Genomic DNA, 15,796 nt, shown 5'->3' on the forward strand with positions numbered 1-15,796 from the left:
CAAAATAGACTAAAAATTATTGAACAATTAATTAATTAAATTACACTTTGGCATATCCTTTTGAACCGCAGAAAACAAAAAGACAAAGAAAATATTGAACAAAGTGAGACCAAAAAATTAAACAACCAAATAAATAAAAACTTTACCTACAGAGGAACAAGAATAATAATTATAGTAGACTTCTCATCAGAAACCTTGCAAGGAATGGCAGTACAATATTTAAAATGTTGAAAGAAGATAAACATCCTTTCACCTGAATTCTACACCCAGTGAAATTATCTTTTAAATGTAAAGGAAAAATGAAGACTCTTAGTTAAAAAATTCTGGGAATTCAGTGCCATCAGACAAGCTCCGCAAGAAATATTAAAATTAGTTTTTTAGGAAAAAAGAAAGAAAAATGATGTAGGTCGACACTTCAGTCTGCAAAAAATGGTTACAGCATTGAGTAAGAAATTGAAAGTAAACAAAAAAACCAACAACAAAAATGCTCCTTTTTACTTATTAATTGACCTAAGAAATAACTATGAAAGTAATAATAATAAAATATATTAATTAATTTATCCATATTTCATTTATGTAGATAAACGAAATAAACAACAATATCACAAGGGGCAGGAGGGAGGATTTGTTAAAGGGTGCCTGCGCTGCATGGGAATGTACATAGTGTTACTTGCAAACGGACTTACATTAATTAAAAATGTATACTGAAATCTCTAGGGCAACAACTAACAAATTTTTAAAATGTAGTTGATAGAATAATAAAACATACTCAGTTAAAACCAGAGAAGGCAAAAAAGAGAGGGATATAGAAACAAGGCACAAATATAGCAAATATAAACCAGTTACAGAAATGGTAATTATTGACCTATAGATATTTATGGTCACTTTAAATGTGAGTGGTATAAATGCTTCAATTGAATACAGATATCCTCAAAATGAATTTTTAAAAATATCTAATTACATGTTGTCTAAAAGAAACCTTCATTAAATATAAATGTTTGGATACATTAAAACTAAAGGGATGGAAAAATAGACACCATGCTATTATGGAATGAATATTCTTGCAAAATTCATACTCTGAAGTTTTTACCCCATGTGTGACTATGTTGGGAGATAGGGTTTCTAAGGAAGTAATTAAGGTCAAGTGACATCAAAAAGCTGGGGCCCAGATTTGATAGGAGTAGTGCTGTTTTAAGAGACATGGTCTATTCCCATGCACCAAGGAAAGGCAATGTGAAGACATAGTGAGAAAGTGACCATCTAAACCCAGGAATTTGTCAGCATCTTGACCATGGACTTGCAGCCTCCAAAACTGTGAAAAATTAAATGTATTTGCTTAAGCCATCAGTTTGTTTTATTTTGTTATAACAGCCTAAGCAGACTAAAACATACAGAAAAAACAGATTTCAGAACATGGAAACGTATCAAGGATCAAGGAGGGCACTGCATGATGATAAACGGATGATTTCTGTAAGAAGACATAACAATCTTTAGCATGTATGCATCTAATAATAACACATTAAAATATATGAGGCTAAAACTGATAGAACTGTAAGGAAAAATAGCTAATGTCTGGGTAGTGGTGTTTTCTTACTATAATTTTTAAATCACCCAGGAATCCTTCGTAATAAATGGTGAACAATATGAACTATAAAGTTAGAAATTTTTTGGAAATAGCAACTTTATTCTCAAATACAACATTTTTAAATCTTAAAATCTGCCAAATAACACAAAGATGCTAGAAGCAATAAAAGTCATAATACATAAAGTCCCTCACTGAAAATGCATAAGAACATTTCACTGATGAAAGGGTATCCTGAAATTCGTTCATGACTTTGCTAAAAAAGAATTCCTTGCTAGTGTCGAAACGGAATTTCAAAACTCATTTATATACAAAAATTATTCAGACAAGTAACAGTAATTAGCTACTATTTTTAAAAATCTCCAACATTACATCAGAATCCAAATCTGGAAAACATTAATTATAAGACATACAGAAAATTTTAAGGATCAACTTTCATGCTTTCTATATCTTTTTACTTACAACATTAAACAGGCGCGCGCGCGCGCGCACACACACACACACACACTTGCCTTTCAGGGTCTGCTTTTTGTTCTTACACAAATAGATTTCAATCCTTTTTAGTATAGTAAATGCAGTTAGCCTCCTTGTCCTATTTTTTGTGCCTTTGTTCATTATTTTTATTATTAAAATAAAAGAACTTGACCTCCCAGCAGTTTCTGAGCAGACAAAATGTCTTCCTAGAAGGTGAGGAGACTTGTACTGATGATACCAGAGCTGGGAGGGAGGAAGTTGACCACAATGACAATAGCAAGCAACATGCAGCTTTTTATTATTTAAAATTGAAAGCAAGTTCAGTTGTCATTTTACAGAAAAATAAAGCATATTTTGTTCTTTAGTCTGAATGATGAATGCCTCCTAACTTTTCATACTAGAAAGAAAATACATTGTTTTTCTTTTTTCTTCTTTTCCTTTTGGCAAAAAAAAAAAATCATTCCAAAAAAGATATTGCTGGTCTTTCATACCCACATTTTCTCTTAACAATGGTAAATTATTGTAAACATTTTTTGTGTGAACATGTGAGGGCAAGAAATAATGTCAAATGGCATATTTTTAAGCATTTTATTTTATACTATGTTAATCAAATAATTTAACCCTTTCCTTCTCATCTCTGACTGTATTAAATCTCCATCTGCTCTTGTTCTCACCTTGAATTACATTCAATATACATGCATGCTTGTCCAACTCGAATACTTGGAGCTATTGTTTAGATGTGTATTCTTACAAACAGTTCTGAAATCAAGTCCTATTTGTAGAATTCTATCATTTATTAAGTTCCCAATGTTCTGAGGTGGGTTATGTCCTTAATATTAGTTTCTAATTCTCTAATTCTTTAAATTTGTAAAGTAGGTAAGGAAATATTGACCTCAGAATATACATCAACCCCCTACAGAATTATAACCTATTATAATTTGGTAATATGAGGAATAACATTCCTCAAGGTGGGTGGTGCTGCTCACTGGTTTTCTGGTGGTGATTGGTATTCTTTTTTTTTTTTTTTTTTGAGACAGAGTCTCACTCTGTCACCCAGGCTGGAGTGCAGTGGCGCAATCTTGGCTCACTGCAAGCTTCGCCTCCCGGGTTCACGCCATTCTCCTGCCTCAGCCTCCTGAGTAGCTGGGAATACAGGCTTCCGCCACCATGCCCGGCTAATTTTTTTTAACTTTTCAGTAGAGACGGGGTTTCACCATGTTAGCCAGGTTGGTCTCGATCTCCTGACCTCGTGATCCGCCCGCCTCGGCCTCCCAAAGTGCTGGGATTACAAGCATGAGCCACCACACCCAGCCAGTGATTGGTATTCTAACAGAATATGGGGACCACTTTCCTTCACTGCCACTCTCAATTAGACATTCCTTCCTAGTTTAACAACCCCAGGGGTTAAAAAATTATCTTTATTCTTCACATCAGGAGAAACTTTATAAGTCTTTCTTATATCACACGCCTAACCCTGAATCAAATCCAATTTAATACTAGAAGACTTAGCACTGATCTGGGAAAAAAAAATTAAGATAATTTGAAAGTATAATTTTACTAACTGTGTTCATCAGAATATAATGTTATGTGTCTAGTTTATTTATATCATGACTCAAATGCCATATGTTCTAATATAGATGAACAAAAGAACATACAAATTATTGCATCTTTGCATTGTCCAGTTAGGCCTCTGTTAATTATACCTTATGTCCTTTGATTCTAAAGAAACTGCATTTCAGTCATGACCCACTTTTTCCTCTGTTTTTAATTGGAACAGTGTTATTTTCTTTTAATTAAATTGCAGTCACAAAGTACCTGAGGTAGAAGCCTAAATAATTTGTGTTAACCTGATTATAGATGGTTATAATATTTTGATGGTGATTTTTATTATTTTATAATTTTGAATCATTAAAAAATGAGCAGAGCAACTTGATTATATACTGGAAAGATAGAAATATGTTCTCCTTATCACCTATCTCCATTAATTATCTTTCTCCATGCCTTCTCTCATGGGATGAAACACTACTAATACTGCAAGTATATACATCAAGTCAATGGAAGTAAAAGCATATTTACTCAGAAGACAAATATATCACAAAATGAACTAAATGTATTGAAAAGCAATTATAAAATACTGATATCTAGTAAACATGACAAAATATTTTCAAACACACTATAATTAAAAGTATGTCTACATAACCAGTGAGCAGGTTTTTTAATAAAATAAGTGGAGTGAATAAATACAAAATTAACACCCTCATTCATGGCTTAAGAAATGGTATATAGATACAAATTTTTCTGATAAAAAATTTAAAATATATATCAAAATGTTTCAAAGTAATAAATTATTTTGCTCAATAGTTTATGTTTATCATGAAAAATTAATTGACGTATAATTAAATATACTTGAATAATACTTTTTTCCATGCCGTATATACATACAAAACACTCATACAACATGTATATACATATACATGTAAAGGGAAATAGATGAAAAACTAGAGAAAAGGTTGAATCAATCAGAATACACCTACAGATAGGACACTATATGGCTACTTACAATAGAATTTTCTGACAAGAGTCACAGGAAAACTTTCTTGGTTAAATTTAATTACCACTTTCAAGCTGCAAATCATTCCAACATACGATCTCAGTTAAAAGATATTTGTATTCACATATTTTGATGGAGGAAAATGGTAGGAAATACATATGCATTGTATCAGTGTCTATCCCTAAATGAACAGCTTTTTTTTGGATGCTTTAAAAAATTGTTCTTATAAACTCATAGATTATGAAGTACTTTAAGAAGCCGACATTAAAATTGTTAAAGAAAGTTAATAAAATATCGATAGGCTAGTAACATAGTCAGGGCCTTGCTTTCTGAACATCTTGAACTTTTGCTTCAATTAATGACAACCCTATCAAATGTATGCTTTGTTAACTTTTTTAGTTTTTATTTAGAACTTATAAGGTCTTTCAGGATATGTATATAACAATAGCATTACATACCTTTAGAAGAATAACAGCATTATATAGTACAGTAATTAAAGAGTTGGCGTTGATTATTTAAAAGAGAATTAAAATCCTTTCTATGACCTCCAGTATCTTGTTGAAACTTTCCAAGTCAGGTTAAAGTTAAACAACAGCACAGATCTCATCTCTTATGTTATTTATAAGATACACCAAAGCATTGGGTAAAAAAATTAAAAAAAGACATCCTATATAGCCTAAGTAGTATTTAATTTCTGTTACAACAGCCTATGTTTGTTTTTCAAACCATGGTTCTCTGGTTCCATATATATGCTATTCAACTAACAAATTAACTTAAGGATGAATACATATGTATGAATAAATATATGTAGTAATCACTTTGGCATTCTCAATACAGCTTTAATATATTAAAACAGGTACAGGGCTATTTGAAACTATCTACTAAATGATAGTCCAAGTTTTCAGACATAAAGACCTATTTAAGTTACAAATAAAGTGGGATGTTTTATAACTACATTTCTAGGCCTCACAAAATGATTACTAATTGAATTTTATAACTCCAGGGATTTTATATGCTTTGTTTTATAATGAACATGTGGTACATATTATTTATATTTCATTCATGTCAGTGGCTCATTTCAAGTTACAAGAATCTCCTAAAACTATTGCTATTCTTACAAAATGATGTTTAAGCATAGTAAATAATTAATTTTAAAGCTATCTTTAAAATACATAGCTACAACTTAATAACAGTTTAGCAAGACATATTTTTTCTCTCCTTGATCTGTATGGACAAATTTTATTTATTATTAAAATTTTGTGTTTTAGAGTGTGATTCTTAAAAATAACCCACATAACATCTAATTCATGAAAACCATTATTGTTAGAAAGAGAGTATTTCTGATGCAAGTTTGACAATTAATAATATATCTTAGATAAGGGTTTTAAAGGAACAATTAAAAAGATACAACATAATTTTCTTTAACAATTTTCATCTTTAAAATATGCACCAGAAGAAAAGAAAACAGAGTGAGAAGTAAACCTTCATATTTACTGATGCTTGTGAGTAGTGTAAGTGATAAGCTGACTGAACCAAGGCTGGAGGACAGCAAAAGAGGGTCCTGCCTCAATAGATCCTGGGGCAAAGTCAGCAGAAATGAGAACTCTGTCGCCAACACTAATTAAGCAGTTCTTCATATGAAAAAGAAAATACATATAGTCTTTCTGGTATGATGGAAAAACAGAGACTCAAGAGCTGAAGAGAAATAAAAGTGAGGACCCTTTAGATTAAAGGAATTGCTAATGCTGATAATCATTGTTGAAAATGTAGTCTAAGACTTAAAAGACAAGCTTAAGAATATGAAGCAAAATAAAATGTAAGAAGGAATCAAATTGAAAATAGTATACATGGAAACAAGACAGATAGAAAAGATACAAAAATAATGTTCCAGAAAATGTTAAGAGCAAACATTTTTAAACTATAAAATCAAATACAAAATTCAAGAAAAAATTATAGTAAAATACTAAAACCTAGTCACATGTAAAGGAAAATATTGCTGCGGATTGAGTTACACTCTAGAGTCACAAAGGACTGCAAAAATAAAGACATCTACTGGTATCTAGACAGAAAGTCACCTCTAAGAGGAAAAATTAGCCTCATATCTTATGTTTTCTCAAAACAAACTATGGAAATAATGTCTTCAAATTCCTCAAGGCAAGTTAAGTGTGACCTAAGAAACTGTTGTCCAAGAATAGGCAAAATTAAATATTTTTTGTTATTCTAAAACATAGAAGGTACTATATGTGTGTAGATTTCCTCTTTTTGCATAATAGAAGATAAATAGCTATTTTTAAAAGTTGATAAACCCAGTAACAGAATTATATAATTTAAAGATACAAAGTTGGGCTGGGCGCAGTGGCTCACGCCTGTAATCTCAGCACTTTGGGAGGCCAAGGTGGGTGGATCACGAGGTCAGGAGATCGAGACCATCCTGGCTAACACGGTGAAACCCCATCTCTACTAAAAATACAAAAAATTAGCCGGGCGTGGTGGCAGGCGCCTGTATTCCCAGCTACTCAGGAGGCTGAGGCAGGAGAATGGCGTGAATCCAGGGGGTGGAGCTTGCAGTGAACCGAGATCACGCCACTGCACTCCAGCCTGGAAGACAGGGCGAGACTCTGTCTCAAAAAAAAAAAAAAGATATAAACTTGCCTACCATTTTAGAATCATAATAATATTACTCAAGTTAGAACTATAAATGGAGGAGTGAGGAGTGGAGGAAATAAGAAATAGAAGTGCTCTATTTTCTCTTCTTTTATCACAGCAATTTAGCAATTAAAATCCTATAAGGTTATAACATTTCTAAATATTCCAAATAACTACAGGAACATTGATAAATTTATATTGCATAAATTTACAAAGGTAAACAGTATAAGAACTAAGCGGTTTATAATTATTCCAAATTACTACATGGAGAACTTCTACTAGCACATACGAAAATAAACCATATGGCTAAATATATAATAACAATGGTTTCAAAATATAAATCATTACATAAAATAGGATTCAGAATTAAGAACATATATTTTATATCAATAAATAAATGTAGATCTCCACAATCAAAAGTCATGTCATAATGATTCAATGAACAGAATCCAAGCACAGGTGCTATTCAAGAATTAGGTAAACCAAAGTCATTTAGCAACAATGAAACTCAACCGTGAGATGAAACATGTCAGGTACACATTGAAGGAAAGGAAAGGAAAAGAGAGGAGAGGAGGAGAGGAGAGGGGAGAAGAGAAGAGAGGAGAGAGGAGGGGAGATAGGAGGGGAGGGGCAAGAGGAAGGGAGAGAGGAGGGAAGGAAGCCAGGAAGAGAAAGAAAAAAGAAATCTTTTTTTTTTTTTTTTTTTTTAAGCAGAACAAGAAATTTATTAGCTCATCTAGCTGGGAAAAATGTTATGTTATGTTATGTTATGTTATGTTATGTTATGTTATGTTATGTTATGTTATGTTATGTTATATTATGTTCTGTTATGTTATGTTATGTTATGTCATGTTACGTTATTTTGAGACGGAGTCTTGTTCTGTCGCCCAGGCAGAAGTGCAGTGGTGCGATCTCGGCTCACTGCAACCTCTGCCGAAAAAAGAAATCTTTAAAACAATAACAGCCAAAAGTGATTTTAGGGTCAACATTTTTGTGACCAAATAAATGCAATTTTCATTTTATATACTATATACTCCTCATGAAGTTCTTTCAAGAATATGTATGAAAGAACAGCAGAACATTGCTTTTAAGAAACAAAATCTATGAGGAAATATACATTCTTCTCATTGAAGAGGCAATATTTTTTCATACTTTTTTTAGTTCTACTTCTATGTATGTGGGACTCAGTATGTTAAAGTTTTATTTAAAATTCAGGAAAACATTTTTTCTCTCTTGACAATCTGTAGAATAATTGTTTTTTCTTGCCAGGGTTAATGAGTCAACTTTAAGAATCAAATGAGTCATAAATTTGTTGCTCTAGTTTGGACTTAGCTGGTTCATTTTGAAAGCAATAAGCAAGGATACTTGAACATACATTTCTTTAATATATCCAAAGTACTCTCTTGGTTCCAATTAAGAACCTTACAACTTGAGAACAGTTGAATAATAACTCCTTACGAATTGAAAGATATATATCATTTAGTAATGTACGTGAAAATATGAAATGACTTTCAGTCAAATGAAAAGTTGATTAAAAACTTTCATAATGGTCAATATTAGAAAGAGTTAGAAACAAAGAGAAATTCACATATTGTAAGTGCAATAGGAAATCAGTATGAAATTTGATCACTGAATCATAATTTGCTGATATTATTTTGCATTTATTTGACTCTGAAATCCACTTCAAGTATTTTCTCACAAACATATATGCACAAAGATGGATGATGTGTATGTTTTTGCAATATGGACCCTGAAGCAACTTAGTGTCCATCACTAACACTAAATAATGGTCTAACAATGAAGTACACTATTATGTGGCTAACAAAAAGAATAAAATAGATCTAAATATGCAGAAATGAAAGAATCTTCAAGATATAAGTGAAAGAATGGTTCAAAAGAATGTTATTTTTCTCTTATTTCTATGTAAACATTGCATGTTTCTGGAAGGATGCATACAAAACAAGGATAAGTAGTTGTCTCTCATAGGAGAAACTGCAGATCTTGGGTGGGAAGGAGACTTACTTTCCTCATTTTAACTATGAATACTATTTGTGTGATTGTATGTGTATATACACACATACACATACATACATCGGGGAAAATGAATATATATTTCAATTAATTTAACAAGGTAAAAAGTAAGTGCTTGACAAGAAACTATGAAGAATATTAAGTTACTTTATGATGTTTGAATATGAGTTTATATTCTTATAATCAACTATTAGCATATCACCATGGTCTTGAGGATAGTTGTATTTATTTTAAACATTACATGAGACTCAGCCTTAGAATCATAAAATACCCCTTATATTATAAAATAATTTTAAGTAGATTGATTTGACAAGCTCTGATTATATTCTTTGTGCTAAAGCTGATCATAATCAGCTTTCTGAGACATTTCATACTAATTTGAAATGTAAAAAAGACACTCACATTTTTTCCTAATTTTTACATGTTTCCAAATTGAATGGAGTTGTATAATGTAATATTTATTATTCTACATTTTGAAAAACAGAAAACTCTATTTAATTTGTAATTTATTTTTTATTTCCCATTGTAGCAATGTGCTAGCTAATTAAAAATAATAAAGAGTAACATTTTTTCACTCAACAATCAGCTTTCCGGCTATCTAATTGTCTCTCCACAATTTCACCCTTTTATAAGAAGTAGTTTTTAAAAATTTACCACTCAGAATAATTCCCAGTTGACAATAGCTTTTACTGCGTAAGAGACAGAAAATACTGGGTATACAGTGTTAACTCTTAAAAGCAGGAATGGTGATGGCTGGAGACATGAGGATGACAATTTGACAAACAGATCAGAGATGAAAAATGTTGAAAGTAGTTACACAGTCAGTTCACTGAAAACTACAGTGACGAATGTTCCTAAGGAAGGCTAAAATATTGAATATGCCATTAAATCAGTCTTGATGGCTGTATTTAGAAAGAACACTACCTATAAAATTTGTGATGTATGTATAGCATAATAATTATTTTTAAAAGGGCTTAGTGTTTGTAGAGATAAATGGTAGTTATCTGTGGTATTATATGGAATTTTTCCTAATATTAAAAGGATACTATTGTAAATAGAGACATTCAACCCCCAAAATGTAGCTTAAGTCACAATAGTAAAATAGAAATGTGCTTTAGAAGACTCAAAATTTAAATACTTGAAATAAACTGAAATACTAAAATGATTAAAGAAAAAAAACTTCTCAAAGAGCAATACTAGAGATGAATATAATCAGAATGTGCGTATATCCAAAGACTTTTATTATGAATTATGTGATATGACAACTAAAATCACACGATTTCTCTCTTATCTGCCCACACGTAGCAATATCACTTTATGTTGTTCTGTCTATGTATAGAGTTTTTACCTTTCTCTTCACTTCTTTTGTGGGTGAATTTCTGTATGTATCAGCTTTTGGAATTACCTCTTTATCTTTTTTCCTCTTGCTAACAGAGAAGGGATCTGTGGACTTTCCCTTTAAAACAAGAAATAACTCCTTTTCATAGCTATGCCCAAGTTTATATCTTTTACTAATATTTTCCCTCCTTGAATCATGAGTGACAGCAGTAAAGGGTCTTAGCCTTTCTGTTACCTCTGCAATGTCCGCTTACAATTTGAAGGCTGTGTGAAGAATAGCAATTATGACCTTCTTGATCTTGGCCATATATCCTCCCCTTGGTTTGCTAGATATTACCTAAGTGTGCTGAAGTTATATTTTTCTAAAGAAAAGTATTTCTTTGTTATCAAGTCAAAAAAAGATCTTTAAAAAATATGAGATGATAACCACACAAAACTGGGTAAGAATGTGGATATCTTAGATTACAAAATATTTTTTAAAACTCAAACCATAACATAAGTATATATACCATTAAATTGTACAAGGTTGGTGGGAAAGACTTATTTAGAATTTTGAAAATACTCATATTAAATAACATTAATGTAATTATATGTAATCATAATATAAAATATAACAATATACAATGTATATAATATATACTTATCTATATTATATATACTTGTTTAATATTACTTATAATTATAATTATTTAATATTATTTATATATAATATCTATCACATATATATTACTTATATATTATTATATATAATATAACATATTAAATATTTTGGCTTATCTAGCAAGAAAATAAATTGGTTTTTAACTGTAAACTTATGAGGGGGTGTGTATGTGTTATAACTAGGATTATCCACAAACTTGAATGGGTATCCTAATGAGGTAGATAATTCCATCACATAAAGCTTTTTGTAATCATATATATGGGATATTGTAAAACGCACTTCCATTTAGGGTTGAAAGTTTGGTAAGGACCTAATATCTTGCTCTGTTTCTGAAATTATATTTTCTTGTGAAATATTTGGAAAGATGTCATAAGTAAGCGAGTGTAAATCTGAATGAGGCTGAGACTCAAGTAATAACTTACTAGAAATGAAGCACAACTTTCTGGGACTCAATAAGCATGTGTCAAAGAAAGGGAGTTAGACTACTCAATAATTATTAAATTAATACAATACTAAAAACTAACACAAATTACATTCAAATAGCTATATTTTATATAGCACCTTGTATGTACCAGTCATTGTTCTAAACATGTAAGTTATATGTTGCGTATAACCTAAACCTCCCAACATCCACAAAATAAGTATTCCTGATATTATAATAATTTTAAAATGAGGGGAATTAATTGCAGAGAGGCTAATATGCAGAAAAGCTTGGATTCAAACCCCTGCTGTTGGGCTCCTTATTCCCCAGTTTTAACCACTACAACCACTACTAACTCACTCCTTTGCTTTCTTCTCCTCTACTTCCTGGAGTGAAATCCCTTTGTACCAGTTGAAGCCTTTCGTAAAAAATGAATACACTTATTACTGCTACGCATGCTCCACTTCCAAACTTTTCATTTTAGACTTTAAAACTTCCATATTTTATGTTCCATCTGGACATTTCCAATGTTAGTGCATATAGACATTTATTTCTATATATAAAATACTTTAAATGTGTTATTCTACCATCAAATTAAAAAAGTTAATATTTTGTAATCAAAATTGCTTTAATAAATTAAAAAAATTCTAAAATTACATATTTAAAATCATCTAAAGAAAAGTTTTAAAAGACTTTCAATAATCACCAGTCTTAGAAATACATTAGTAAGTTTTTCAACATACTTGTGTCTTTGAGAAAGTGGGTTGTTATAGAAATTTCAATAGTATTATATACTTTAAAATTATTATAGGAAAATGTAAAGTCCTTGCAATGCACTAATATATTAAAGACTATTATTAAGTAAATCTGCACACAGTATTTATTATAACTCTCGCTAGCAAACATAGTTTAAAAATGAGTTGTTCTTTGGAAATAAATACTCTGAAATACATCCACCAGGACACCAATATTGCCTACTTTATTTTAATCATGAATATCACATAAAAATGTCTACAAAGTATTTAAAATAATGTATTGGATCAAAATATATATGCATACCAATTACTAGCAATAAGATTGTCACCTCTGTGAATGGTCTGCATTAAACAGTCATTTGTATATTCTGTTTGTTTTTTTCTTTGATTTTCACTTCATTGATGACTGGTGTGTTAATAAATTTTGCATTGCTGTAAAGGAATACTGAGGCTGGCTAATTTATAAAGAAAACAGGTTTATTTGGCTCACAGTTCTGCAGACTGTACAACAAGCATAGTGCCAGCATCTGCTTCTGGTGAGGCCTCAAAAAGCTTTTACTGATGGTGCAAGGTGAAGGGGTGACAGGTGTGTCACATGGCAAGAGAAGGAGCAAGAGAGAAGAGGGGGTGTACAGCTCCTTTAAACTATCATCTCTCTCACCATCTAACACAGTGAAAACTTGCTTATTACCAAGGGGATGGCCCCAAGCCATTTAGGGGAAATCTGTTCCCATGACCCAAACACCTCCCACTAGGCCCCACCTTCGATATTGGGGATCAAATCTCCACACCCATGAGATATGGAGGGGACAAATATCCAAACCATATCACTTGGTAAAATTAAAAACATTTTTATATGTTTTTTGACAATATATGTTCCCTTTCTTTCAAATTCCTATTTATGTGTTTTGCTTCCGTATCTCTTGTGAATTTTTGTCTATTTCCAAATTGTAATTTATCATCTTATTTTTTCCACTGGATTATAATTTTGTAATACACCTTTGATAAACAAAAGGTTTTACTCTTAATGTGGCAAACATATAAATAACGTGTCCACTGTTTCGTAAAGAGAAAGAGAAGATTGCCATTATCAAGTCTTGGAAAATGTTGTAAATTGATATTTGATATAGCCATTTGGGAAATCCTTTTGAGAAAATATTTAAAAATTTGATCTTCTAATACCCTAAAGCCCTTAACATCCAAGATGATGTTCAAAATCAACTCTTACACATTTATACTGGGAAACATCTACAAGAATGTGTACAAAAATCCTGTTCAAAATCACAATGTTGTATATCCCCTCAAAAAATATATTACAGCTCTAAAAATTAATTAGCTGGAGCTACACACAAAACATGGATGAATCTTAGCAACATATTATTGAGCGAAAATCATTAGCACAATACGATTTTTAAAGGTTTTAAAGTAAAGATGACCAAGGACAGTCCCTAACTGATGATGCTGAATTTAGGATTTTTTTTACTTTATAATGTTTCAAACCCATCACAATTTCAACATAATGTATGGTATTCAAATAATTACAAAAGATATTCAACACCTTATTTTAAAATAATCTTGGTGTTAGATGATAGGCTAATGTAAATGTTCTGAGAACATATAAGGTAAAATGGGAAAGAGCAAGAATTTACAATTGCAAGTTTTCTAAAGCAAATGCTCTGAGGAAGGAATGTCAGTGGCCTATAGTCAAGATCAAACTTATCTGAAGCTTTCTAAAGCTAAAGCAATATGATATAACTATTATATTAAGATATACATAAGTGCAATAAAAGATGAGAGTTCCATGAACTAATGACAACAATGAATCATAAACCATGGATTATAATTATTATGTAATATATTATATATTACTATTTTATGCACTTGAGATGCACAAAAATACATACAAGAGGATTTTAATATATTTATATAAGTCACTTTACTTATCTATTCAAATTAGATAAAAAAATTGCATTTGTCAAATAACTTATGGGCATTTTTTAAAGTAAAGGAAAAGTTGTGTATAATTGCTAGACTATTAAAAATTTTGAAGGAAATCTGTTATACACCCAACAATGATAGAGGAAAATGCCACTTTATATGTAATTTCATTATAGTTGAAAGAAACCTTTATACATAGACATTGTAGAAACAAATTTGTCGTAAGGATCTGAGTAAGTCACAATTTATAAAATATAACTCCTCATTGATTTTAGCAATATTTATCTCCCCGAGAGTGTTCTTAAATACAGCTATATATATTGTTTTCCTAATAGTCTTTACTTGTGATATCCCTCTTATACACAAATACTCGGCTACCTCCTGAATCTAGGAATGTGCATTTTGTTTAGCACTGATATTTCATCTTTTAATCAGAGACCTACTTGCTCTTCTTTCTGCCCTAATTGCCATCCATTTAGAGGCTAAATATTGTTTGGGTGGAGTGGAGCTGGAGCCCTCCAACAGACATGACAAAGTAGCTTGCAATTTGCTCCAATTTTCAGTCCTTATCAAAATAATCTCCTATAGTAAGGGTAAATGTAAATCACTTTTTGTAAGTTCAGACAAACATGGAATGTCAATCAAGAAAAATTTAGCCCTGCCATTGTTTGTTGAAAGATAATAAACTACATTGAGACAAATCAGACCTTATTAAACAGACCATATGATTTAAGCAGTTGCAAGTCTGTGGTTTTTCAAATAGATCATTTTCTTTCTGCCTTTTCTGGGCTGTCATCCACTTCATTTATATAAATTCTTGTGGGAGGATGGGTATCACAACAAAATTGATCATCAAGTTTCAATGAAAATAGTCTGTGGCTATAACCTTTTTCAACAATGCTTGAGAAACATGTCTAATAAAAGATCATTGAAACACTGCTTTTCATGCTGAGGCAGTGTTTCCAAAAAGGGAGAAATTACTCATCACTGCCAGTGTCAACTCATTATGAGTTTTCTTGTCCAATATGACCTAAGAACTTCTATAAACACATAGAAGAGCGTTGCATGCAGACTACCTTTTCTTAAAGGAAAATAAACACTCTCTTCATAGGTATTTAGCACTCAATGTATTTAATAATCCTATATTGTTGGAAAAGTAGTTTATGTTTCACACTATTACGTTATACCAATCACTATGTCTTTATAATACTACAAAGTTTGAAAGTTGAGAAAAAATCCAAAGAGAAAAACATCCAAGATTGAAAATTTGTCCGTAAAAGTACCAGAGAAGTATATGTATTATGTGAAAAGTAATTATAAAATTTCTTTTTACTGATAGGCAAGTAAGACTTAAGTAAAACAGTTTCCTCTTATCATACAATATTGCCTTAAGTCTACT

The 15,796-nt window shown here is 31.1% G+C and overlaps 1 long non-coding RNA gene across 1 annotated transcript in view, besides 2 other annotated features; it reads right to left on the minus strand.

Moving 5' to 3' along the window:
• Nucleotides 1-15,796, minus strand: part of LOC107985242 (uncharacterized) — a 199,987-nt gene that overhangs the window by 165,548 nt on the left and 18,643 nt on the right. The gene's annotated exons all lie outside the window — the stretch shown is intronic.
• Nucleotides 15,005-15,205: a silencer, noted in NCBI's record as "peak613 fragment used in MPRA reporter construct". NCBI's record gives its function as "represses an SCP1 promoter by STARR-seq MPRAs in K562 erythroleukemia cells {active_cell/tissue: K562}" and the evidence as "EXISTENCE:reporter gene assay evidence [ECO:0000049][PMID:32103011]".
• Nucleotides 15,325-15,525: a silencer, noted in NCBI's record as "peak614 fragment used in MPRA reporter construct". NCBI's record gives its function as "represses an SCP1 promoter by STARR-seq MPRAs in K562 erythroleukemia cells {active_cell/tissue: K562}" and the evidence as "EXISTENCE:reporter gene assay evidence [ECO:0000049][PMID:32103011]".

This window comes from Homo sapiens, chromosome 1 (genome assembly GCF_000001405.40).
Source record: "Homo sapiens chromosome 1, GRCh38.p14 Primary Assembly".
NCBI lineage: Eukaryota > Metazoa > Chordata > Mammalia > Primates > Hominidae > Homo > Homo sapiens.